Source organism: Homo sapiens, chromosome 12 (assembly GCF_000001405.40).
Source record: "Homo sapiens chromosome 12, GRCh38.p14 Primary Assembly".
Taxonomy (NCBI): domain Eukaryota; kingdom Metazoa; phylum Chordata; class Mammalia; order Primates; family Hominidae; genus Homo; species Homo sapiens.
The window spans coordinates 95,674,087-95,698,666 of NC_000012.12; the positions used below are offsets into that span (position 1 = coordinate 95,674,087).

The following is a 24,580-nucleotide window of genomic DNA, read 5'->3' on the forward strand; positions in this document are numbered from 1 at the left end:
CCCAGGAGGTCAAGGCTGCAGTAAGCCATGATGGCACCACTGCACTCCAGCCTGGACAACAAAGTGAGACTCTGCCAAAAAAAAAAGAAAAGAAATTGTAGTAACCTAAGTGAATAGCCTATGGCCTTTGATAATTCCACAAAGCAGAAGAGTACAGTAACTACTGTGCTATAAAACCTAATGGAACTCCAAATGGCATATACTGTTCCTCAACACAATGCTTTTCTCTTTAACCCTTCAGCCTAGAAGAGCAGACATAGGTCTATTGTTTGATGACCTTTCTTTGGCTGCTTTCCAATACTTCTTTTTCATATGCTTAGAGCTCAAACAATATTTGTTGATCAGGCTTCAGCCCAGATGTGTTTTCTTAAAAGAAATCTGGAAGGGAAGAAAAGCTTGTTTAGTTATGCTAGGTTATTAGGACATTAAAAAAAAAAAGAGCATTGTTTACAGTTCTGTGGTACTAGTTAAGGCCAGTTTTGTTATTTAGGAAGTGAAATTTTACATCTGGTATAAGAAGTGGTAGAAATTAAGGGTGTTTTGTTGGTAAAGTATATTATACTCCTAGTTGAAAGCTGTTTTTATGGAAACTTATGGGAGGTATATAGGTAGGTAGATTGTTTTCAGTGCTTAGAACACTTGTTGAAAAAGGTGCTCAGAAGCACCATTCTATACCCAATGCAGGGAACTCAATAAAGTCTTCCTCAATCTGGCGTTCATCCAGATGAATTTCAGAGACTCTCTGGGGACATCACAGACCTAACAGCTGCTGTGGACATGAGAGTCTGCAGTCATTCTGGTGCCAGCACTTTATGTGCTTGGCTGGAATGCTGCCAACTCTCTAATAACATGCATGATGGGCTTAGTGAATGTCCTATAGTCCTAAAAACTGGATTATTACAGATTTGGTTTAGCAAACTTGGAGAATTATAAAAAGTCATTGTGTGCTTAGAAAAATAGAAGAACACCTTTAAAAGTGGCTATTAAAGTTAAAATCATAAAATTCCAGACTACATAGCATTAAGGCAAAAAAAATTCATAGTAAAGACTTGTTTTCTTTTTCAAATGCTGAAAAGATAAATATGATAACTTCATGTTGCCTTCTCTTTCGCACCTTCTTTCCTGTTGTGATTGAACATGAAGCCATTAGGAAAATTATCACGAGATTATGTTAAGTGAAAAAACCATGATACAGATGGGCAAATAACCTTGTTTCTCAGATTTAGGTTCTTGATTCTTGAAGGGTCCATATGTTCTCTATGAGAAGGTTTTAAAACTGTGATTTCTTTCTGATCTAAAATGTGGATTGATGGGTGGATAGAATTTAGGTGGCGGGTATGTGAATGCACAACTTCTAAAACTTTTCTGGATGTCTGAAATTTTTCATAATAAAATGTTGGGAAAATTATCACAGACATTCTCAATCAACACAACTTTGTGAATTCATACTTCAGCACATCCTCAGCTCCAAGCACATAGCAATATTAGATAAAGGACGGAAAAAAAGACATAGCCTGCATCAAAAACTAGATATTTATCTCTGTGGACTAGAAATGAATGTTTTCAATTTGTTGATACTTCTTGAATTTAAAAAAAATGTAAAGAAAGAAAAGAAATGAATGAATGTGCATTCGGGGGATAGGGCTTTGGGGTCCGCTTTCAGAATCAGGCAGCAGTGGTCAGGAGTTCAGATACAAAGGAGTTAATAGGACAAAAAAGAGATCACAGTCAGACTCACTTTTTAAAGACAGATTGGGTAAGGCTCTCCTTGCTAATGAAAGGAGGCTGGGAAAAAACAATAAACCAACCACGTACACAAAACTCCAAACTATTATTCATGGCCACTTGATGACATTCTTAAAAAGGGCTCTGCATTTCATCCAGCATCTAGTCCTGCAAATTATGTAGCTAGTCCTTAAGTGACCTAGAAATGAATCCAAGTTGCCCTCCTGGTTTTCAAAGAATAGATATAATACAATGAAATTAGATTAGAGATAATCAGTAAACAAATATTCTTTTTTGTTTTTTTGTTTTTGAGATGGAGTCTCCCTCTGTCACCCAGGCTGGAGTGCAGTAGCCTGATCTCACTTTACTGCAACCTCTGCCTTCCAGGTTCAAGTGATTCTCCTGCCTTAGCCTCCCAAGTAGCTGGGATCACAGGTACGCGCCACCACACCCAGCTAATTTTTTTGTATTTTTAAGTAGAGACGGGGTTTTGTCATGTTGGCCAGGCTGGTCTCCAACTCCTGACCTCAGGTGATCCACCCACTTCGGCCTCCCAAAGTGCTGGGATTGCAGGTGTGAGCCACTGTGCCCAGCCCCGGGTAAAAAAAAAAAATATTCTAAAAACCCTGATGTTTGAACAATTAAATATCCTAGACAACTCAATGGATTAAAGCGAAATTCTTAATGGAAATTAGAAAAACATTAGAACTTGAATGATAATGAAGATACTACATATAAAGGCCAATAGGATCCAGCTAAAAGATCTTATAAGGAAATGTATAACCTTAAGAGTACTTGCTAAAAATAAGAAAGACTAAAAGTAAGTGAGTTAATAATCACTGGACTCACAAAGGCAGAAAAGGACTAAAAAAGCAAACTTAGAGAAAACATAAAAAAAAAATAAAGATAAGAGCAGAATTAGTGAAATAAAGAAAAATTAAATAGGTTGGATCAAGTTAACCAAAAGTTAATCTCTGAGAGAAGCAAATTAAGATCAGTATAAGACAATAAGAAAAAAGGCACAGATAAGCTTAGGGACAAAAAGAAGATTAAGGACAGATTGAGTAAAGGTTAAATAAATTATGAGTGAATACCATGTATAACTCTATGCCAATACAATTTTTTAAAATTAAAATAATTGGTGGCTGGGCAAGGTGGCTCACGCCTGTAATCCCAGCACTTCGGGAGGCTGAGGTGGGTGGATCTTAAGGTCAGGAGATCTAGACCATCTTGGCTGACACTGTGAAACCCCATCTCTACTAAAAATACAAAAAATTAGCTGGGCATGGTGGCATGCGCCTGTAGTCCCAGCTACTTGGGAGGCTGAGAATTGCTTGAACCCGGGAGGCAGAGGTTGCAGTGAGCCGAGATTGCACCACTGCACTCCAGCCTGGGTGACAGAGTGAGACTCCAACTCAAAAAAAAAAAGAATCGGTAATTTTCTAGAAAACTTTGATTACCAACACCAAATCACAAATAAAACAAATTAATAACCATGACAGATATTGAATCAGTAATACTTTCGTCTACTCATAGACACTGTGTCTCAATGGTTTTATAGATAAATTCTAACAAAAATTCAAGTAACAGATGATTCTATTTTTATATAAATAATTGCAGAGAATAGAAAAAAAACGTAGTGGGTAAGGGGACCTCCTAACTTTCTCAAATATACAATGCAATACATTAAATTATAGGCCAATATCAGTTATAAACATCAATATGAAAATCCTAAGCAAGCAAATAAATAAATGAAAGATAAAAACCCTAGCAGATCAAATTCAGCAACGTATGAATAAAAATACATCACAGCAAATAAAACTTATCCTAAGACTAAAAGAATAGCTTGATAATAATTGCCATTCTGACAAACAACAGATGCTGGCAAGGCTGTAGAGAAATAGGAATGCATTTACACTGTTGGCAGGAGTGTAAACTAGTTCAACCATTGTGGAAGACAGTGTGGTGATTCCTCAAGGGTCTAGAACCAGAAATATCATTTGGCCCAGCAATCCCATTACTGGGTATACACCCAAAGGATTCTAAATCATTCTACTATAAAGACACCTGCACACGTATGTTTATTGCAGCACTATTTACAATAGCAAAGACTTGGAGCCAACCCAAATGACCATCAATGATAGACTGGATAAAGAAAATGTGACACATATACACCATGGAATACTACGCAGCCATAAAAAAGGATGAGTTCATGTCCTTTGCAGGGACGTGGATGAAGCTGGAAGCCATCATTCTCAGCAAACTAACACAGGAACAGAAAACCAAACACCATATATTCTCACTTATAAGTGGGAGTTGAACAATGAGAACACATGGACACAGGTAGGGGAACAACACACACTGGGGCCTATTAGGGGTGTGGGGGGCGAGGGGAGGGAGAGCATTAGGACAAATACCTAATGCGTGCAGGGCTTAAAACCTAGATGAGGGGTTGATAGGTGCAGCAAACCACTATGGCACATGTATACCTATGTAACAAACCTGCACACTCTGCACATGTATCCTAGAACTTAAAGTAAAAAAAAAAAAAAAAAAAGAATAGTTTGATACCGGAAAAAAATTATTTTCAAATACCACATTGATAGATTACAGGAGGAAAACCATCTGATTTTCTCAAAAGATGCAGAGAAGGCATTCAGCTAAAAGCAAAACTCATTAACGATAAAATTAGAAATAGAAGAGAATGACATTTACTTGATAAAGGCTACCTATCAAAAATCGATATCAAGTTTTATAGTGGTGAAAATTTCAAACTATTTCCATCAAATTTGGGAAAACATTGTACTGCAGTAAAAAAAAATGATGCATGAGAACTACACAAGTGAGACAAAACTGTCCTTATTTGTCAATAATATGATGGCCTACATTAGAAAATCCAAGATAATCCATACATACTGGAATCAGTAAACAAGTTCAGCAAAGTCGCTGGATACAAGCTCAAAATACAAAAAAAAAGTGACACATATACATTTATATCCTTTATATCAATAATCATTTAAAAATACAAAAAAAGTGACACATATACACCATGGAATACTATGCAGCCATAAAAAATGATTTTTAAGAATCATTTTAAAAATTCAGGTAAAGAACACTTTCCCAATAGCAATAAAATCTAAAGGTATCTAGGAGTAAATTTAATGAAAGACAGGTAAAACCATTTTGGAGAAAAGTGACAAATGCTATTGAAAGGCCTTAAAGAGCACCTTAATATATAGAAAGGTATCTTCATGTTTGGGACTACTCAATATTACAAAGCTATCACTTTTTTCAAAATGATCCATAAAGTCAATGCAATTGCAATAAAAATCCCAACAGAGCCTTTTGTGGGATTTAATAAACTTAATCTAAAATTCACACGAAAGGCAAAGAACCGATAGCTAAGATAATTTTAAGAAAGAACAATGAAATGAAGGGACTTGCCATCTCAGATATCAGGACTCATTATAAAACTGTAATAATATATTGTGGTATTGGCTCATGAAACATGATAGACAAGACACAGATCCATTCATGTATAGAAACTTGATATATGATAAGGTAGCATTACAGATAATGGCCTCAGCTGCTCATTCCCATGACCATATCTTAGACATCGCCATTATCGATAACTGCTACTCTTCCAGTCTCAATTTCAAGCATCTCATTCTTTGACTTCTACATCCCATCCTAGCTTGTTTCCAACTCCAACAATCCTTTGAAACCCTGTAATCCTTGACCCTACCTCATTTCACCCTCACATCCCTATTTACCCAGTTTAAATTCTATGAACAATTATTGCCCTCTCTTGCTTCATTCTTGCTTGGAAAAACCTCAACCCAGCTTAAAGTCATCTCTTTGTGTATGCCTACATCCACAGTGCTGAATGTGACTAGGGAAAACACACAACCATGCTGATGGGTGTTACTCTAAATGCCACACCTTTGCTTGAAATGCTCCAATGGCTTCCATCTTACTCCAGGTGAAAGCCAAGGTCCTCATAGTGGCCTCTGCAGCCTCGTTATATTTCCTCTTCCACTTGTCTTCCCAGCTTACTCTGTTCCAGCCACACTGGCCTTCTTGCTGTTTCCTGAATTCCTCCTCAGGGCTTTAAAGACTTGCTGTATCTTCTGCCTAAACTCTCTTTTCTCTGCCACCTGTATAGCTAGCCTTCTTACCTCCTTCAGAATTTTTTTCCCCTCAAATGTCACCTTTCAAAGGGCTTACCCTGATCACCTTATTTAAAAGTATGTCCCTCTAAAACATATCTTATTCCCTGTCCCTGCATTATTTTTCTATTACACTAAACATTCATCATACTAAATACTTTATTTGTTTATTAGCTGTTTTCCTTCACTAGAATGTAGGAGACACAGAAGCAGAGATTTAATGTTTTGTTCACTTTATTTACAGCGCTGCCACATGACAGAGGTACTTAATAAATATCTGTTGGATGAATGAATAAATTTATAAAGAACTACTACAAATTCGTAAGAAAATTATGGATAGGAAATTCACAGAAAAGGAAACCTGAATGGCCAAGAATAAAGACAGGTACTTCTATAACCATTTAAAGTGTAAGCATTTAAAACTGTGAAAACCATTCTTAGGGCAGGTAGCCCGCAAGCTATAGAAAAACAGGTGGCCGACTTGGCCTGAGGGCTGTGGTTTGCCAGCCCCTGGCCTGGTGAAACACCTTCTCAAGTGCACAAAGTCACATACAAGAGAACATTTACGGCAGTGTTATTTATAATGGTGGAAAATTAGAAATTGGAGATATCCTAAATGGCAAACAAACGAGAGAATAAAAATGGTATATTCACATAACCGCTTTTATATGAATTTTTTTGAGATGGATAAACCTCAAAAAACTACATAATCAGGTAAAAAATGTTTTGCTTATTTACATTTCAGAGATGGGCTCTTTCTATGTTGTCCCAGAGTTCAGTGGCTATTTACAGGTGCTATTATGGTGCACTACAGTCTCAGACCTCTGGGCTCAAGTGATCCTCCTGCTTAAGCCTCCTGAGTAGCTGGTACTACAGGTGCACGCCACCAAGCCTGGCTACCAAAAACATTTTAAAAGAGTATATAACGGCCGGGCGCGGTGGCTCACGCCTGTAATCCCAGCACTATGGGAGGCCGAGGTGGGTGGATCATGAGGTCAGGCATTCGAGACCAGCCTGGCCAACATAGTGAAACCCCATCTCTACTAAAAATACAAAAAATTAGCCAGGTGTGGTGGTGGGTGCCTGTAATCACAGCTATTTGGGAGGCTGAGGCAGGAGAATTGCTTGAACCTGGAAGGCGGAGGTTGCAGTGAGCCAAGATTGTGCCACTGCACTCCAGCCTGGGCAACAGAGTGAGACTTTGTCTCAAAAAAAAAAAAAAAAAAAAAGAGTAGATATCATGTGCATGGAATTCTGAAATACTCAATATATATATAGGTAATAAAAACATGGAAGTGGATGATCAACACCAAGTTCACCATTGTGGTTATTCTGTGGACAAAGGGAGGCAACTGGGCTTGGGGCTGGTACATCGGGGACTTCAAAAGCATCTGTAACATTTTATAACCTAAATGAGAATATGAAACAATTACGGCAAAGTGTGAGATTTGCTAACCCTTTGAAGGTGTGTATGGGTGCTCATTGCATAACATTTTTACTACTTGTAATGTTTCATAATAAAATATATTTAACTTGATGTGAGTTTAATTTGGAGCATTTGGTGAGCACTTTATAGCCAAGTGTTGACGCAATATTTCATGCCCACATTTGAGTTTGTGTTAAGGAGCAAGTTAGTGCTAAGTATAATCACTTGCTTTTCTACAAGAAGAGAATAGAGGCAAGATGAACACAGAAGCTGAGGATTCATACCACTATCATGGCATGCCCTTCGAAAGAAGAAACAGAACAATGTCATAGGGAAATTGAGTCAGAGGAAAGAGGAGCCCATATTGAGTAAACTCAAAGAGCTATATTTATGTAGTGAGCAGTGTTTTGGCTTTGGTACAAATCATTTTTCATATTCAGTTAATGTCATTAATTTGATTTTTTTGGCTTCATTATTTGGCTTATATTTAGTTTGTAGAATTACTTTTGCTTTCTAGTTGTAAAAAAGCTATAAACATAAGGAGTTCACATCTAGCTTTTGCTTTGTACCTATTAAGTTAAGCTAGGTTTATAAGAATATTTTTCCTTTCAATGGATCTGTAAATTTCCAAACCTAATATATTCAGTAGGCTTTTTTTTTTTTTTTTTTTTTTTGAGACAAGGTCTTGCTCTGTTACCCAGGCTGGAATGCAGTGGCACGATCACAGCTCACTGTAGCCTTGACCGCTCAAGTGATCCTCCCACCTTAGCCTCTCAAGTAGCTGGGACTACAGGCGTGCACCACCACACTGGGCTAACTTTTTATTTTTGTAGAGATAACTCTTGCTATGTTTCCCAGGCTGGTCTTGAACTCTTAGCCTTAAGCAATCCTTCTGCCTTGGTCTCCCAAAATGCTGGGATTATACTCACCCCACTCAGTAGGCTCTTAACTGTGTTTTAGAGTGAGAAAAACATACCAAAGTATTAACAGTGGAATAATGAGATTTTGGGTGACCTCTTTTTTTTTTTTTTTTACTATGATGTTTTGCATTTTCCAAATTTTCTATACCAACTACATATATTACTCTAATCATCAGAAAACAAACAAAAATGTGTTAAAATACCCCTTAGCTATATTTTACAGTTTCATACTTACAGGAGTCACTACTTTATTATACCATGAAACCCCAGAACTAAAGAGTTCCCCTCATAGGATCCAAAAGCTGGACCCTGGTTTGTCACGTATCACTGTTACATAAGACCAGACCTGAAAATATGATGCCTGGTTACATCCATCTCACCTGAGTGTAGAAGTGCAGAAAACCCCTGCGCATCCTCCCACTCCCAGGCTGGTTCGCTCTTATTGTGCACGGGACGGAAGTCAGGAACTTCATGATACCAGTCTATGTCTGTGTGGCTAACAAAATAGAACATGATAAAGAACGTATTCAGGAATTTTTTAGAACTTGTATAGAAATGAATCTATAGAGATTTAAACCTTATCTTCTGCCTTCCCATTCTTCCTTTTTCCAGAAATAGTGTTTTAAGGAACTATTGTGAAGACAATAATTATTTTGCAAAATGAATTAGATGATCTCTAGAATCTTGCAAGAACAAATTACTTGAGTTTGTAATTAGACAAAAATTATTGGTTTTGTTTTGTTTTGTTTTAAAACGGAGTTTTACTCTTGTTGCCCAGGCTGGAGTGCAATGGTGCAATCTTGGCTCATTGCAAACTCTGCCTTCCGGGTTCAAGCGATTCTGCTGCCTCAGCCTCCTGAGTAGCCGGGATTACTGGTGCCTACCACTATGCCCAGCTAATTTTTTTGTATTTTTAGTAGAGATGGGGTTTCATCATGTTGGCCAGGCTGGCCTCGAACTCCTGACCTCAGGTGATCCACCCGCCTCAGCCTCCCAAAGTGTTGGAATTACAGGCGTGAGCCACCACGCCCAGCCTGACAAAAATTCTTTAAAAGAGATGTGCAAATACATCTTTGCTCCATTAACAGAATGCAAGATTTTCCAAATCACTATAGGTTTTCAAAAGAGCCTGAAATACATGCAGCTGAGAGCAAGAGCCTTGCACATTCACCTGCTGATGCAGTCTCCGGTGATAGGGTCACAGCTCCCCGCACAGTCACATGGTCGACAGCCATAGTCTCCGAAGCCCCAGTATCCCACCATGCACCTGTCACAACGTCGCCCTGCCACCCCAGGCTTGCAAGGGCAGTCACCATTGCTGGGGTCGCAGAAGGTCACTGAGTTGGCAGGAAGGACAGCTGATCCTACTGGATGGCAGGAACACGCTACAACAGAGAGGACACGCAAGGATCAAAGACTGACTGTAGATCACCCGTGTGAACATTAGGCTTGACCATCCCCAAGTGGCTTCCCTTCACCACACAGCATATTTCTGAGACTCCTTCTTTAGCCAGTGAGTGTATGCTCAGAGAATGAAAGCTAATTAAATGACAGATAAGCGAGATATAATCAGAAAAGCATGTCTGCTGCAAAAATAAACACATAATTTATCCTAATATGGAAGGCATGAAATATGAATGCCCTTTGGTTGGGGTGATGAGGACGAACCAGCAAAGAAGACAGGGTGGAAGGATTCAGTGAGAAAGGAAAAGACGTCATGAGAGTATAGTGTTCTGGAAGCCAAAGAAGGTTTCAAGGAGTAGGGCAGCATCAGCTGTGGCAGATGTTGAAAGGTCAAAGAAGATGGGGCATGTGATGGAGTATTGCATTTGAACAGCACAAAAGCTGATGGTGTTCTTCACAGGAAGAGTTTCAGTGTAATACATAGTGAGAGGGAAACCCAGTGGAAGAGGATTCAGGGGAGTATGGGAGTAGAGGAATTTGAGCATGTGAACAGATAGCTCTTTTGAGGAGCTTTGCTTTTTTTTTTGAGAGAGGGTCTCACTCTATCACCAAGACCAGAGTGCAGTGGTACCACCATGGCTCACTGCAGCCTCAACTTCTTGAGCTCAAGCGATCCTCCTGCCTTAGTCTCCCGAGTAGGTGGGACTACAAGCCGGCACCATCATACCTGGCTACTTAAAAAAAATTTTTTTTTTTTTGTAGAGGCAAGGTCTTGCTATGTTGCCCAGGCTGGTCTCAAACTCCTGGCCTCAAGCAATCCTCTCACCTTGGCCTCCTAAGTGCTGGGGCTACAGGCGTGAGACACTGCGCCTGGCCGTAAGTCTTTAATACTAGTCAAAAGTCCTTCTCCTCAGCCCTCTCCCTACTCCTGGAATTACTTATTGCTCACAGTCTGACAACCTGCAGCAGTTTCTTTGTTCTTGGGATGGCAAAAGTAGTTGAACAAAGTGTATATCTATGTGTTTGTATACATACATATATACACTTTTCATATATATGTATGTGTGAAATGTGCTTTCTGGGCTTATCACAAATTCGTGAGCCCTAACTTCAGTTGGATCTCCAAACCAATGCTCACCAACTCTATTTTTGCTTTTTTGAGACAGGGTCTTTTCTTGTTCCAGGCTGGAATGCAGTGGTGCTATCTCCACTCACTGTAGCCTCAACTTCCTGGGCTCAAGCAATCCTCCTGCTTCAGCTTCCCAGGTAGCTGGGACTACAGGCACACGCCACTACGCCCAGCTAATTTTTGTATTTTTTATAGAGATGGGGTTTCACCATGTCCAGGCTGGTCCAAACACCTGGACTCAAGCGATCTGCCCACCTCGACCTCCCAAAGTGCTGGGATTGATTACAGGCGTGAGCCACTGTGCCTAGCCCATCAACTCTATTTATTCAATTTTTCCTGGATTAAAAAATAATAATATTTCTCACAGTGGCTGCCTCAGAAATTCCCTAGGCTTCTCAATCAACCTACCCACTTAGTCTGATTCTAATTCACTGGGAGGGTCCTCTGGATAATCTTTTCTCCATTTCAAAATCTTTTTCATCTTCCCACTGCTTTCTCTGAGAATCAAGTGAGAAACGCTGGGAGAAACCTTGGTTGACGGCTCTGCCTCCCAGAGCCTCTGTGACCTCAGGTGAGAAATATAACTTTCCTGAATCCTGGTTTCCTTATTGTGGTATCTACATCTCATGGAGAGTTCATGCAGTTGACATGATTTTAAATGAAACTACTTCAGCAAGGTGCATAGCACAGTGTCACACACTGAAGAAGCCAGTTCTTCATGCTGCACCTTCTCAACTAATATTCTCAATCCTGTTCTCTGCTTTTTCCCCTTGGAAACTTCTTTTATTGATTATTTTTCCTTTAAAATATCAGTTTGGCTTCAAATCTCCACTACTGACTAACTGTGTGACTTTGAGCAAGATACCTAGGCTCTCATCTCAGTTCCCTTATCTGTAAAGACAATAAAAATAGGAACTATCCTTATGCAGTGGTAAGGATAAAAAGAGATTATGTGTGCAAAGCAGTTAGTGTGATGTCTGGTACATGATTAATAGTAAATTAAATTAACTAATTAATCCAATAGATAATTCTTTTTTTTTTTCTTTAGAGAAGGTTTCACTCTGTCACCCAGGCTGAAGTGCAATGGCACATCACTGCTCACTGCAGCCTCGACCTCCCAGGCTCAAGAGATCCTCCCACCTCAGCCTCCCAAGTAGCTGGGACTATGGGCACATGCCAGCACACCTGGCTAATTTGTAATTTGTTATTTTTTTATAGCGACAGGGTATCACTATGTTGCTCAGGCAGTCTTGAACTCCTGGGCTCAAGCAATGCTCTTGCCTTGGCCTCCCAAGTGCTGGGATTACAGGTGCCAGCCACTGTGCCCATCAGATAATTCTTATAGAGATATAGGACCTATGTTTATCTGAGAAATGGTGCCAGCCCTCAGGGAACTTATAGTCTTGTGGGGGAAACAGAGAAGTAAATAAAAGATTTCCATACATGTGATGTGCTGTAACAGAGGTATACATAAAGCACTGTGGGAACACAGAGGAAAGGTGAAGGCAATACAAGCTGAGGGAATCAGGTGGGATCAACAAAGGAGGGATCATTTAGCGATCTGAGCCAGTTCATAAAAGATGAATAGGAGTTTGCAAGTTGAAAAGGAGGGCAAGGGGCTGGGCGTGGTGGCTCACACCTGTAATCCCTGCACGTTGGGCGGCTGAGGCGGGTGGATCACTTGAGGTCAGGAGATCGAGGCCAGCCTGGCTAACATGGTGAAACCTCATCTCTACTAAAATACAAACATTAGCCGGGCGTGATGGTGCACGCCTGTAGTCCCAGCTACTCGGGAGACTGAGGCAGGAGAATCGCTTGAACCTGGGAGGCCCAGGTTGCAATGAGCTGAGATTGTACCACTGACCTCCAGCCTGGGTGACAGAGCAAGACTCTGTCTCAAAAAAAAAAAAGAAAGAAAAAAGAAAAGGAGGGCAAGGAAGGCAATTGCTGATTCCAGCTCAGTCTTTAGACACTTTCCCCAGTGCATCTTTTTAAAATAAATTTTTCATAAATAAATTGTGGTAAGAAACACACACTATACAGTTGACCGTCTTAGCTATTTTTGGGTGTACCGTTCATCCCTTCTGCATTTTACGTTTCTGCATTGTGTGGGAGCTCTTACTGCTTCCTGGAAATGCTACTCTCTCTGATGCCTCAGTGCTCCTGGCCCTTGGCCATGCCTGTGTGGCCTTTCCCCACCTTGTCCATCTAGATTCTGACAGGATTTCTTGTCCCACTCCCTCCAGACAGTTAGCCACTCTCTCCTCTAAGCTGCCTCTTTGCATATATTTCTATTTTGTCCCTATCACAGTGCATCATTATTATTTTTTCCATTGGAAAAGGATTTTATTTCACCATAAAAATGCAAACTGGAATAAACATCATCTTTCCTAATGCAAATGTTACAGCTATTTTTAAGTATTTCTGAGTTTCACTTTGAAAAGCAAATGACTATAAAATTAACAAGTTTGCAGCCTTAAATCTGTTTGAGACATTCCATGTAAAAATAATTTGGTGAAAAAAAATTTTTTTTTTTGTTTTTTTGTTTTTTTGTTTTTTGTGATGGAGTCTTGCTTTACTGTCCAGGGTGTAGTGCAGTGGTGTGATCTCGGCTCACTGCAACCTCTGTCTCCCGGGTTCAATCTATTCTCCTGCCTCAGCCTCCCAAGTAGCTGGGATTATAGGTGCCTACCACCATACCGGCTATTTTTTTGTATTTTTAATAGAGATGGAGTTTCACCATGTTGGCCAGGCTGGTCTCGAACTCCTGACGTCAAGTGATCTGCCTGAGTCAGCCTCCCAAAGTGCTGGAATTACAGATGTGAGCCACCACGCCCAGCCACTAAACAGTTTCTTAAAATAATTATTTGTTGATATGCCTATCTCTCTTACTAGTAGAGTCTGAATTCATTGACAGAAGGATCTTTATCTTCTTATTTTTGTCTTTGGGGCCCCAGAACAGTGTCTGGTACATCATAGATGCCCTAATCAGCATCTGTGGAATTGACCTGGAGGATATTCCAGGCTGTGGGAATCCTATGTGAAAGAGCCCATGTGGGGAATGTGAGAAGTTTAGTGTGCCTGAGTGTACACTGAGTAGAAAGCAGTTGAAGGAGATGAGGCAGAAGAAAAGCTGTAGAGTCAGGTCGGATGGTAATAGGATTCCAGGTTGTGGAATTGCCTAGCTTTAGAGGTTGAATTTTGTCCTATGGGCATAATGAATCATAAGAAGTTATAAAGCAGAATTATGGCACGGTTACAATTGAATTTTGACAGACACTTTGGAGGCATTGTATAGACTAGAGTGGGGAGAGGCTGGTGGCAGGATAATCAAAGAAAAGAGAGACAGCAAGGAAATGACTAAGACAGTAGGTGTGGGAATGGGAGGTAAGTTTGGATATGAAAAACTTATTTTTTAAAGTTAGAACAGATAGGGTTTGGAGACCATCTGGAAGAGGAAGAAAGAGTTGTTGAGGGACAAATAGAAGTCGGGGAAGATTTTCAGGTGTCTAGTTCATGAAACTGAATAATTAGTGACATTATTCACAAAGATCTAGAAGAGAGGACTAGAGAAAGTTGGGGCAGATAGATCCATGCTGAGGGTGGAGATAGGGAAGGAAGGGAAAGAGAATGAGTTTAGGATCAAACACATTAAGCTTGAGATGCTTAAAGGCTATCTTAAATATATCCTGGAAACATTCTGACACTTAGGAGAAAAGTTGGGGTCATAAATACAGTTTTGAGAGTTGTCACCCAGTGGCAGTTGAAATTAGGAGGGCTAGATGAAACTTCCCAGGGACGGTGTGTAGAGTGAGAAGATGATCAAGGATAGAACACGGTGGAAACATCCATAGGTACTGGCAGTTGGAGGAGCAATAACTTTCAAAAAGATTATTAAGGAGAAGGTAGAGAAGGAGGAGAAAAAAAAAAAAGCCAAAGGATGAGAAAGTTTCAAGCAGTTAACAGTGTCAAACAGTGCAGAATGCTCAAGTCACATACGATGGACAATAGGCCAGCAACACCATCAATCAGGAGGTCATTGGTGACTTTTGTGAGAACAGAAGCTGGAGAAATACAGGCCCTGATGGTGTACTGTGCTACTGTTTAGATCTCTCTTTCATCTCTTTAACCAATAATCATTAGAGCCAAGGTTCTCAAACCAGTATGAATGTGTGAGGTTTGCAAAAAATTTCTAACATCTGTGCAACCTTCCCCCCACGCCCCTCCCCATAAGCTCTCTTTCATTGAGAACCACTACAATAGAGCATGAAATGTTGCTTCTTCTGCCAAAGGTATGAATTATCTTCTTGGATAACCTCATATTCATTCATTTATTAGAATCTCATTCATTGATTCACTCACTCAACCAACAAATGTTAATAATAATAATTCTAATGTTTATGAAGCATTTGTAGTTTCCAAAATGTGGTCACTCCTTAGCCAAACATGTAAGGTCCTTCATAGCAGAGGCCTAGCCTACTTTTCCAGTCCTTCCTCTCATTATTCTCTTGCATATAGCCCTTGTTCTAATTAATTAGGACAATTTCTAGACACACCCTCCATCTTTCTTGTTTCTTTGCCTTTATTAATTTCAACAGTGAAATCTTTCTTCCCATAACAATCTTTCAAAATTCTATATGTCCTTCAAAACCTATATCTAATGTCACCCCTAAGGGTTGCTGCAATTCAACCATTTGGGGGGATTAGCGTGCTCAAGGTGGGAGCTCTGTTGGTATCTTCCTTGTTAAAGACAGAACTTTTGACATACAATGATATTCAGAAAAGAAAAGTGGGATTCAACACCCTTTCCTCTGCCACCCCTTCCCACCTCACCAAATGTGAAGCCAGAGCAGTAGCTCCACTTGCCCACAAGGGACAGGTCCACCTTATTTTAGAAATCATTCCTTATTCCAATGCAGTTGAGTATGATTTACCCTTTCTTTGTAACCCTCCAGTGCTTTAAAGAAACATTTCTTCTTATAGCTCTGATCACATTCTACTTTGCATTAGGCAGTTGGGGGTTTTCTTTGTCTATCACACCGGTCTGTAAGCTCTTTGAAGTGGAGCATGGGCCTCACTCACCTATCCCCTGCAGTGCTTAGCGGAGGCAGACTTGAGTTTAACTCCTAGCTGAAATTTGTTTTACCTTTCTGAGCCCCACATTTCTATTTTACCAGGTTCTGTTGAGGACTAAACCAGAGATAATGTACGTCACTAGCACTTAGTAAGACGTTAGCAAATGGTAGATTACAGCTGCTCAAAAATGACCCTTGAACTGAATTAAAAGGCTATGATATAAGCACTATTTACAAAGGACAATGGAGGAAAACAGCATAGGAGACACTGTTTGAAAGGCTAATAATGTGTATATTTAAGGCAGCGTTTATTTACCCATTCACTTACTCAACAAACATTTAATGAGCACCTGCTATGTGCTAAGTACTGTGCAAATTGCTAGGGATCTAACTTGAATAAAACAGTCTTGGTCCTTAAAGAGATCCCAAGTTTAAAAGAATTATTCCAAGATTTTAAAGATCTTTATACCGGAGGAAAGTAAAGATTTTGCCTCTAAAACATTGAGGTTCTAAGGAGAACATCTTTATATTCATACAGTTATGATAAGCACTGTCTCTACATTAAATTTCCTAATTTTTTTCTTCACTTGGTTTTTATTATGAGAACATTTAGGCATTTTTCTCTTAAAGTATCAAAGCACTATTGATTTATGGTTTGTTTCTAATTAAGAAATAATTCATTTGGATTATATAATATGCAATATGAATATATCAAAATGCTATATTCAAAACAGTGTAGACATTACTTAAAATGAAATCACATAATCTAGTATGAAAATTATATAATTTTGAGATGACGAAACCTATAGTTACTATATCACTCAGTCAAGTCAATTTGGTTCTTAAAGCAGATAGGAGAGATTTAGCCAGAAGAAAGATATTATAAGAACCCCTTCTATGGTAATATATGGTAGTCCACCACTCCTATCTTTTCCTCTAATAGAAAATTCAAGCATTTCCAGGAGTTGACCTCTCCCTTCTACCATATATTTTAAAAGCTACACTCATTTCAGGAATGGCCAGAGAAGAATGTGTTTCTGTCATATGTGCTAGTAGATTTCTGTCAGCGTGACTTCTCACATAATTACAAGATAAAGATACCATTTGGAAACTATGCAGAACTAGCTCCAGGCCGAAGGCCCTGACATCTTTCATGGCATACTTTTTCAAGACTCACACCGAGGTCTGCCTTGCATACTTATCTCCTGAAGCTTGATAGCAGTCAATATCTGACACATACAATCTACTTTTCTTATTTTCTTCCAAAATGCAAACATATTTTCTTCTTGTTTGGAAGGAAAAAGGATCTCCTCAGGTTCTGGTTCAGTTCTGATTCCCCAACACATATTTCTTACTAATTGTTGATTCTAAAATGCAACCCAAGAACTTATTTTTTCACAATAAATGTCAAAGTTATGACCCAGAGTGACAGAAGTTCTTAACTTCAGCTTTGTCTTTGTTGTTGTTTGTTTGTTTTTTGAGACAGAGTCTTGCTCTGTTGCTCAGGCTAGAGTGCAGTGGCGTAATCTTGGCTGACTACAACCTCCGCCTCCCAGGTTCAAGCTATTCTCATGCCTCAGCCTCCTGAGTAGCTGGGATTACAGGCACGTGCCACCACGCCTGGCTAATTGTGGTATTTTTAGTAGAGACGGGGTTTTGCCAGTTGGTCAGGCTGGTCTTGACCTCCTGACCTCAAGTGATCCACCTGCCTCAGCCTCCCAAAGTGTTGGGATTACAGGCGTGAGCCACCATGCCCGGCCTGTCTTCTTGTTAGACCCAACAGTTGAACCATCATCATATACTATTATGCTGACATTAATTATTCTTTTCGTTATAATTTTTAGTGTTCACAGCTGTGGTGAACTGTCCTTAAGAGCCAAAATATTACACTGAGTGGTAACCAGGTATATTTAGAAGCTGTATGGCCTGTCTAGGTGGTAAATCATTCATCACTGGAGTCATCATTTTCCCCCCAAAACATCTGCCCTAACCTGCTCTCACCCACAACCATGGTGGCAAAACAAAATTATTAAAAATGTCAATTTAATTTCCGGATATTTTCACAAGAGTTCATCAATAATGCATGAGACTTACTTTGAATAGTACCTTTTTTTGGGGGGGACAGAGTTTCGCTCTTGTCGCCCAGGTTGGAGTGCAATGGTGTGATCTCTGCTCACTGCAACCTCTGCCTCCTGGGTCCAAGTGATTCTCCTGCCCCAGCCTCCTGAGTAGCTGGGATTACAGGCACCCGCCACCACGCCCAGCTAATTTTTGTATTTTTAGTGGAGATGGGGTTTTACCATGCTGGCCAGACTGGTCTCAAACTCCTGACCTCAGGTGATCCACTCGCCTCAGCCTCCCAAACTGCTGGGATTACAGGCATGAGCTACTATGCCTGGCTGGTACCTTCTTTACCCAAGTGTTCTACTGGAAGAAAATCTATGGTAACAGTGCAAAAGTTTTGAAACAGATGAGGTAGAGGAAATGAGTACTTTACAAAAGATTTCACAACAGATTCCCTTCAAGTAATGAATTTAGATAATTGCTGAATATGATAGAAATTTTATCTATAGTTATATGTTTGCAGCAATACATCTGAAAGTGAAGCAGGGCCCCTGCAGCATTTATAGAAAAGGAGGCAATGCTGCTGTGTAGGACTTTCTAGCAGGAAACACACCTGTTAATGAAACGATGGATGGGCACATTTTCAAATATCTTGTGTGTGCATAAGGCTCTAAAACTAATATTTGTATCAATCACAAAGGCTGACAATAAATACAGTTGTTTGGAAATTTGCTGTAAGATTTCTTAGAAGACAGAAAATAAAATAGAAGCAATATAATAAAGTTGGTAAGAGCACAAGCTTGGGAATCAGACTAGATGACTAGATTCTATCCAGAACTAGATTCTGGTGATGAGGCTTATTATTTACAAGACTTTGTGAAATTAACTTCTTCAGCTGTCAGTTTTCTCATTAATGAAGGAAGCCACAGAGATGTTTTGTGAGGTTTGAGATCATGTATGTAAATATTTAGCAATGTATCAGGCATCTAGTGGCACCAAATGCTAAAAAAAAAAAGGATATTATTATCTAGATGAAACGTATTCGTATAAAAATGCTCACCACTCGTTCATTCATTCACTTGCAACTTTACCAAAGGGTTATTGAACTTTAAGGTTAACATGAACTATGCTAGGGGCCGAAGATACAAAGATGACTACAAAAAGTCATATCTCTTGAGTGAGGGAAGAGAGAAGTGTAGATAATGACAGGGCAGTAAGCATTATACCCGAGGTAGTTCAGGGTGCATGAGAATACAGGAGCAACAAACTGCCTCATTGTAGATATGTTTTTTTTTTTAAAGGAAACTAATGATTGAACTGGCTTTCAAAATAGCCTCCTTGCCTTTGTATCAGAGAGGAACACTGCTTTCTTGACTACTCTAAGTTCTATGGAATTAAGTTACTCTCCTGTTATATGTTCCTTTCCTTGGACAAAAAAAATTAACTTATTGGCCAGGTGCGGAAGCTCATGCCTGTAATCACAGCACTTTGAGAGGGCGAGGCAGGCAGATCGCTTAGGGTCAGGATTTAGAGACCAGCCCGAGAAACATGGTGAAAGTCCGTCTCTACTAAAAATACAAAAATTAGCTGGGTATGGTGGTGCATCCCTGTAATCCCAAATACTCAGGAGGCTGAGGCAGGAGAATCGCTTGAACCTGGGAAGCGGAGGCTGCAGTGAGCCGAGATCACGCCACTGCACTCCAGCCTGGGTGATAGAGCAAGAACCTGTCTCAATTGAAAAAAAAAAAAAAAAGAAAAAGAAAAAAAATTAACCTATTACTCTTATTTTGTGGATCAGAGTATGTTGAAAAAAAGGAGGGTGTGATCTATGGTCCTGCTGCCCTGAAATGTCATATAGGACAAGAGTCACAGCGGTCAACCTGCATGAATATAAAAAGTACACAAACACAAGCACAAGACAGGAACATAATGGAACCATTATGGCTCCCTTTATTCTGAAGAGATTGCTATAGCCTTTGATGATGGAGTCAAAGGAGGTAATTGCTGCCGGTTCATCTTTATTCCCACCTTCCACTAGAACTCTAGGAGTCTGCCTGTCTTCCACTGAGGGAGTGATCTGTGATCTTAAGCTCATTGTTGAAACCACCAATGGAATTCAGCATCTTACCGCTCTGAAACTGGCCTCCTTTAATATTACCTGATGGCTCTAACTTTTGTTATTTTGTTATAAAAGCTACACTGGGAGAAAAATACCCTAAAAGTATTTGCTCCTGATTTAGCTTTTCTAAAAACAGAACTCAAAGTTCAAGGCCCTTAGCTGGGAAAGAAGCTGCTTGTCAAGATCTTTCACCAAGACCCCGGCGGCCACTCCCTCCGCGCGGCCACTCCCTCGGCAGCGCCTCCAGGCTCCCAACATTGTTTTCTCCTGAAAAGGCCAAGGCCCTACAGAATTTCTGAGGGGGATTTTTAATAGTGAAGTCATTCCAAAAGCTGCCCAGCTGCCTGCTGAATTCTTAGAGCAAGGGGGACTTAAGGGAGATGATTTCGAGACACAGCTTTAAGAAGAAACGACACAATTTGAACTGTTATACATAAATAGAGTGTGAAGTTAAATAGTAGAAAAAATGAGATCTTTTATCTTTTTTTTCTTTTTGGCACTGTTTTCTTCTTTCCTTCTGCTATCAACTATTTTTGCTAGTGGATGAAAAGCTATAAAAAAATAAGAAAAAGTTGTAAATGTGCTTTACTCTGTGAAAGGCCATATGGTACCCCTTTACTATCCTAGGGAACATTTTTCTATTGATCCTTGCAATGTTATATACATTACGTTCAATGGTAGCTAGTTCCACAATATTCAAGGGGTATTTAATTTCAAATAAAATTATGGCCAGGCATGGTGGCTCATGCCTGTAATCCCAGCACTTTGGGAGGCCAAGGCAGGTAAAATCACTTGAGGCCAGGAGTTCAAGACCAGTCTGGTCATCATGGTGAAACCCCATCTCTACTCAAAATACAAAAATCAGCTGGGTGTGGCGGTGCAAACCTGTAATCCCAGCTACTTGGGAGGATGAGGCACAAGAATGGTTTGAACCTGGGAGGTGAAGGTTGCAGTGAGCGGAGATCACGCCACTGCACGCTAACCTGGGCAACAGAGCGAGACTGTCTCAAAAAAAAAAAAATGACGCTTGAATCAGTTTAATAAGAAAACAATCTGAATTATGATTTGCCTTTCATTTACTGAAGTTCAGTGTCTCCTGAGTTTTTGTACATCCTACCCAAAAGAGGGGTAGGATGCATGAGATCTGCCTCTAAAGCTTTAAAAAATAAATGTACAGTATTTAAGTCTGTTTCCTGTCTTCTATACACATTTAAATGCATACTGCAAATAAATACAAAAGTCATAGCCTTTATTTTATTTTATTTTGAGACAAGTCTTGCTCTGTCGCCCAGGCTGGAGTGCAATGGCGTGATCTTGGTTTACTGCAACCTCCACCTCCTGGGTTCAAGTGATTCTCCTGCCTCAGCCTCCTGAGTAGCTGGGGTTACAGGTGTGTGCCACCACACCTGGCTAATTTTTGTATTTTCAGTAGAGACAAGGTTTCACCATGTTGGCCAGGCTGGTCTTGAACTCCTGACCGCAAGTGATCTGCCCGCCTCGGCCTCCCAAAGTGCTGGGATTACAGGCGCTCAGCCATAGCCTTTATTTTTAATGCTTGCTATGTGACTACTGCTCAGATTCCCTATTTAATTTCTGTATCATTCCTTTCATGTTTACTAGTTGTAGCTGGGCCAGTTACTATTTATTCCTGGGTATATCTAAGAGATCTTAGGCAGCTAAAAAGCCAATTTTATATTCTTGATTTGCTACTTTAATTAAAACTGAAGAAAGCACTTTTGCATATACAGACAAATTTTATCATGGGAAAACTTGGGTGCACCATTCTCTCCCTTCCTCCCTCCCTCCCTCTTTTCTTTTCTCTTTTCTTTCTTTCCCTCCCTCCCTCTTTCTTTTTCTTTCCTTTCCTTCCCCTTCCCCTTCCCCTTTCCCTCCCTCCCATACTCACTTCCTTCCTTCCTTCCTTATTTTTCCACCTGTTCAGCCTCCTGTATTTCCAATCTATGCAGGCACCTAGCCAGGAACTGGAGTTATCCCTAGCTCCTTTTTCCTTTGGAGAAACAAACCTAACTGTGTCTATCTTCGATCTCGCCTTTGAACTGATGCGGTTCATCCTGCCATAATCTGTCATGCTCCCCTTTTTTTTTCATAACACTTATTATAGCTTTTAATTACATATTTACTTGGGTAAATTTATTTAGAGTCTATTTCCACGGGGATAGAGACAATTTTGTTGTACAGACAGTGACTAGAATAGGCCTGCCACATGAGAGGCACTGAATAAATTTAGGTTGAGTTTTTTAAATTGAACTATTTGTGTCATTTAAAAAATATTTCTTAATAATTGATGATCTTATGGCCTCCAATAATCTTCTGATTTTTCACCTCACTGCCGTCACTATAGTACATTGTAAAGGGCTAGAGGATAGGAACCACATCGTTTTATCGCTGTATCCCCCAAACCTAGGTCAATGCCTGACCCATTTTAGCAAATCACTCACCTTTGTTACATTAATAAATGAACGTGCATCTTAATAAGCAACAATCATGAAATGATTTTATGTTTTGATGAACCTCCTAGAAGGTCCATACTGCTCTTTATAGGTTTCTGTGAATAATATCTTAACACCACAGGATTGTAGTACTGGATACTGGATACTAGAAACAGAAAACCACCCCAACAAATCTATGGTAAACTCAAATGGTCAAAACAAAGCAGATTATTCTGCACCTTCCCAGAGCAAGACTATATCCTATATTTAATGCTTCAGTCAGTCCAGCTTTATTATTTATTTTTTGTAAGAAAAGTTCTTTCCAGGCACGGTGGTTCACACCTGTAACCTCAGTACTTTGGGAGGTTGAGGCCGGAGGTTCACTTGAGCCCAGGAGTTCAAGACCAGCCTGGGCAACACAGCAAGAGCCCCTCTCTACAAAAAATAAAAAAAAAAAATTAGCTGAGTGTGGTGGCATGTGCATGTAGTCCCAACTACTCGAGAGGCTGAGATGGGAGGATTATTTAAACCCAAGAGGTCAAGGCTGCAGTGAGCTGTGATCATGCCATTGCACTCCATTCAGCCTGGGTGACAGAGCAAAAACCCTGTCTCAAAAAAAAAAAAAAAGTTATTTATTCTAACTTGATAGGGGACATTCTCCACCCGTAAGTACCTTTCACTGGCAGCAAAATTTCTTTCACATTAATCAATCTGAAATTCCTTTCACCCAATTATATCCAATTAGAACTCTTTGTTCAAGGAAAGTAAATTATTTTTTGCCACACCTCTACTTCCCCCTTACACCTTTTGAGTATTTATAGAAAGTTGCTGTAGTATCCTTGAGAAATTTCCTGGATAATCTGACAATATTTATCATCTTTCACACTTATTCATTAGTATCTCTCTTTTCTTGATGGTTTTTGTTGGCCTATCTGGAATATTCTCCAGTCATTTCCATCTTTCCTATACTAAGATTCCTTAGGATGAAATCAGTTCTTTAGATTCAAATACTACATGGCTATTTATCAGTAAGCAGGGCCTTACAAAACTAAAGGCTTTTACTTTTTTTTTTTTTTCAAAAAAACTAGGTTCTTTAAAAATTATTTTTGCCTTTAAAATATATATTTTATTATTTCTTCCTTTGGGTTTTGATTCTGTTGTCATTAACTGGGTCACGGTGTGTAATACAGTTCTTTGGATCTTTGCAGGTCATGGGATCTTTGTAGTCAGACTAACCTGGGTTCAAATCCCAGCCTTGGCACTGACCAGCTATGTGAACATGGGCAAATTATATACAGTCATCCCTCAACATCCGTGGATTCAGCATCCATAGAATCAACCCACTGTGGATCAAAAATATTTGAGGAGAAACCCAGTAAAAAATAGCAATACAACAATACAACTAAACACTACAGTATAACAACTATTTACACAGCATTTACATTGTATTAGGTATTATAAGTAACCTAGAGATGATTTACAGTATACAGGGGGGTGTGCATAGGTTATATGAAAATACTAAGCCATTTCATATAAGGGACTTGAGCATCCATGAATTTTGGTATCCTCGGGGATCCTGGAACCAATCCCTCGAGGATACTGTGGATGGAGGAACAGGGACAACTGTAATCAATTTAAGTCTCAGTGTCTTCATTTGTAAAATAGAAAATATAGCACATAAAGCTATAACTTAGCACATAAACATTGCTAAATTACCTACCACGAGGTCTGGTCCATGACAGCCATTCACCAAATGCTCATTCTCTTCTTTATGCACCTTCTAATTTTGTCCAGACCTTCTGAAGATTTTGATATTTTCTAATTGTTTGCTTGATTATTACATGTCCTCATCAAAAGTAGAATGGTATACTATTTATTTATTCAGTGAATTACTGCATTCCACTTTCTTCTTGGAAGACATTTTAGAGAATTTCATGACCTTGTCCACTTCTCTTCCCAAATGTGACTGATTTTTATTATCCATCAATTTGTAAAGTTTTGGCTGGGTGTAGTGGCTCCAGCCTGTAATCCCAGCACTTTAGGAGGCCAAGGTGGGAGGATCACTTGAGCTCAGGAGTTCAAGACCAGCCTGGGGAACA

The 24,580-nt window shown here is 39.7% G+C and overlaps 1 protein-coding gene across 4 annotated transcripts in view, besides 2 other annotated features; it reads right to left on the reverse strand.

The window, feature by feature from the left end:
* The window catches only part of NTN4 (netrin 4), a 133,349-nt gene that overhangs the window by 16,280 nt on the left and 92,489 nt on the right, over window positions 1-24,580 (reverse strand). For all 4 annotated transcript variants that reach the window (NM_001329701.2, NM_001329700.2, NM_021229.4 and 1 more), the window contains exons 6-7: window positions 9,412-9,625; window positions 8,621-8,736 (exon numbers count right to left, since the gene is read on the reverse strand). In NM_001329701.2, coding sequence (NP_001316630.1) covers window positions 8,621-8,736; window positions 9,412-9,625 — 330 coding nt within the window. The remainder of the gene's footprint in view (window positions 1-8,620; window positions 8,737-9,411; window positions 9,626-24,580) is intronic.
* Window positions 19,752-20,256: an enhancer, noted in NCBI's record as "H3K4me1 hESC enhancer chr12:96087614-96088118 (GRCh37/hg19 assembly coordinates)". NCBI's record gives its function as "activates a minimal SCP1, AML or CMV promoter by ChIP-STARR-seq in naive H9 embryonic stem cells {active_cell/tissue: H9 hESC(naive)}" and the evidence as "EXISTENCE:reporter gene assay evidence [ECO:0000049][PMID:30033119]".
* Window positions 20,257-20,761: an enhancer, noted in NCBI's record as "H3K4me1 hESC enhancer chr12:96088119-96088623 (GRCh37/hg19 assembly coordinates)". NCBI's record gives its function as "activates a minimal SCP1, AML or CMV promoter by ChIP-STARR-seq in naive H9 embryonic stem cells {active_cell/tissue: H9 hESC(naive)}" and the evidence as "EXISTENCE:reporter gene assay evidence [ECO:0000049][PMID:30033119]".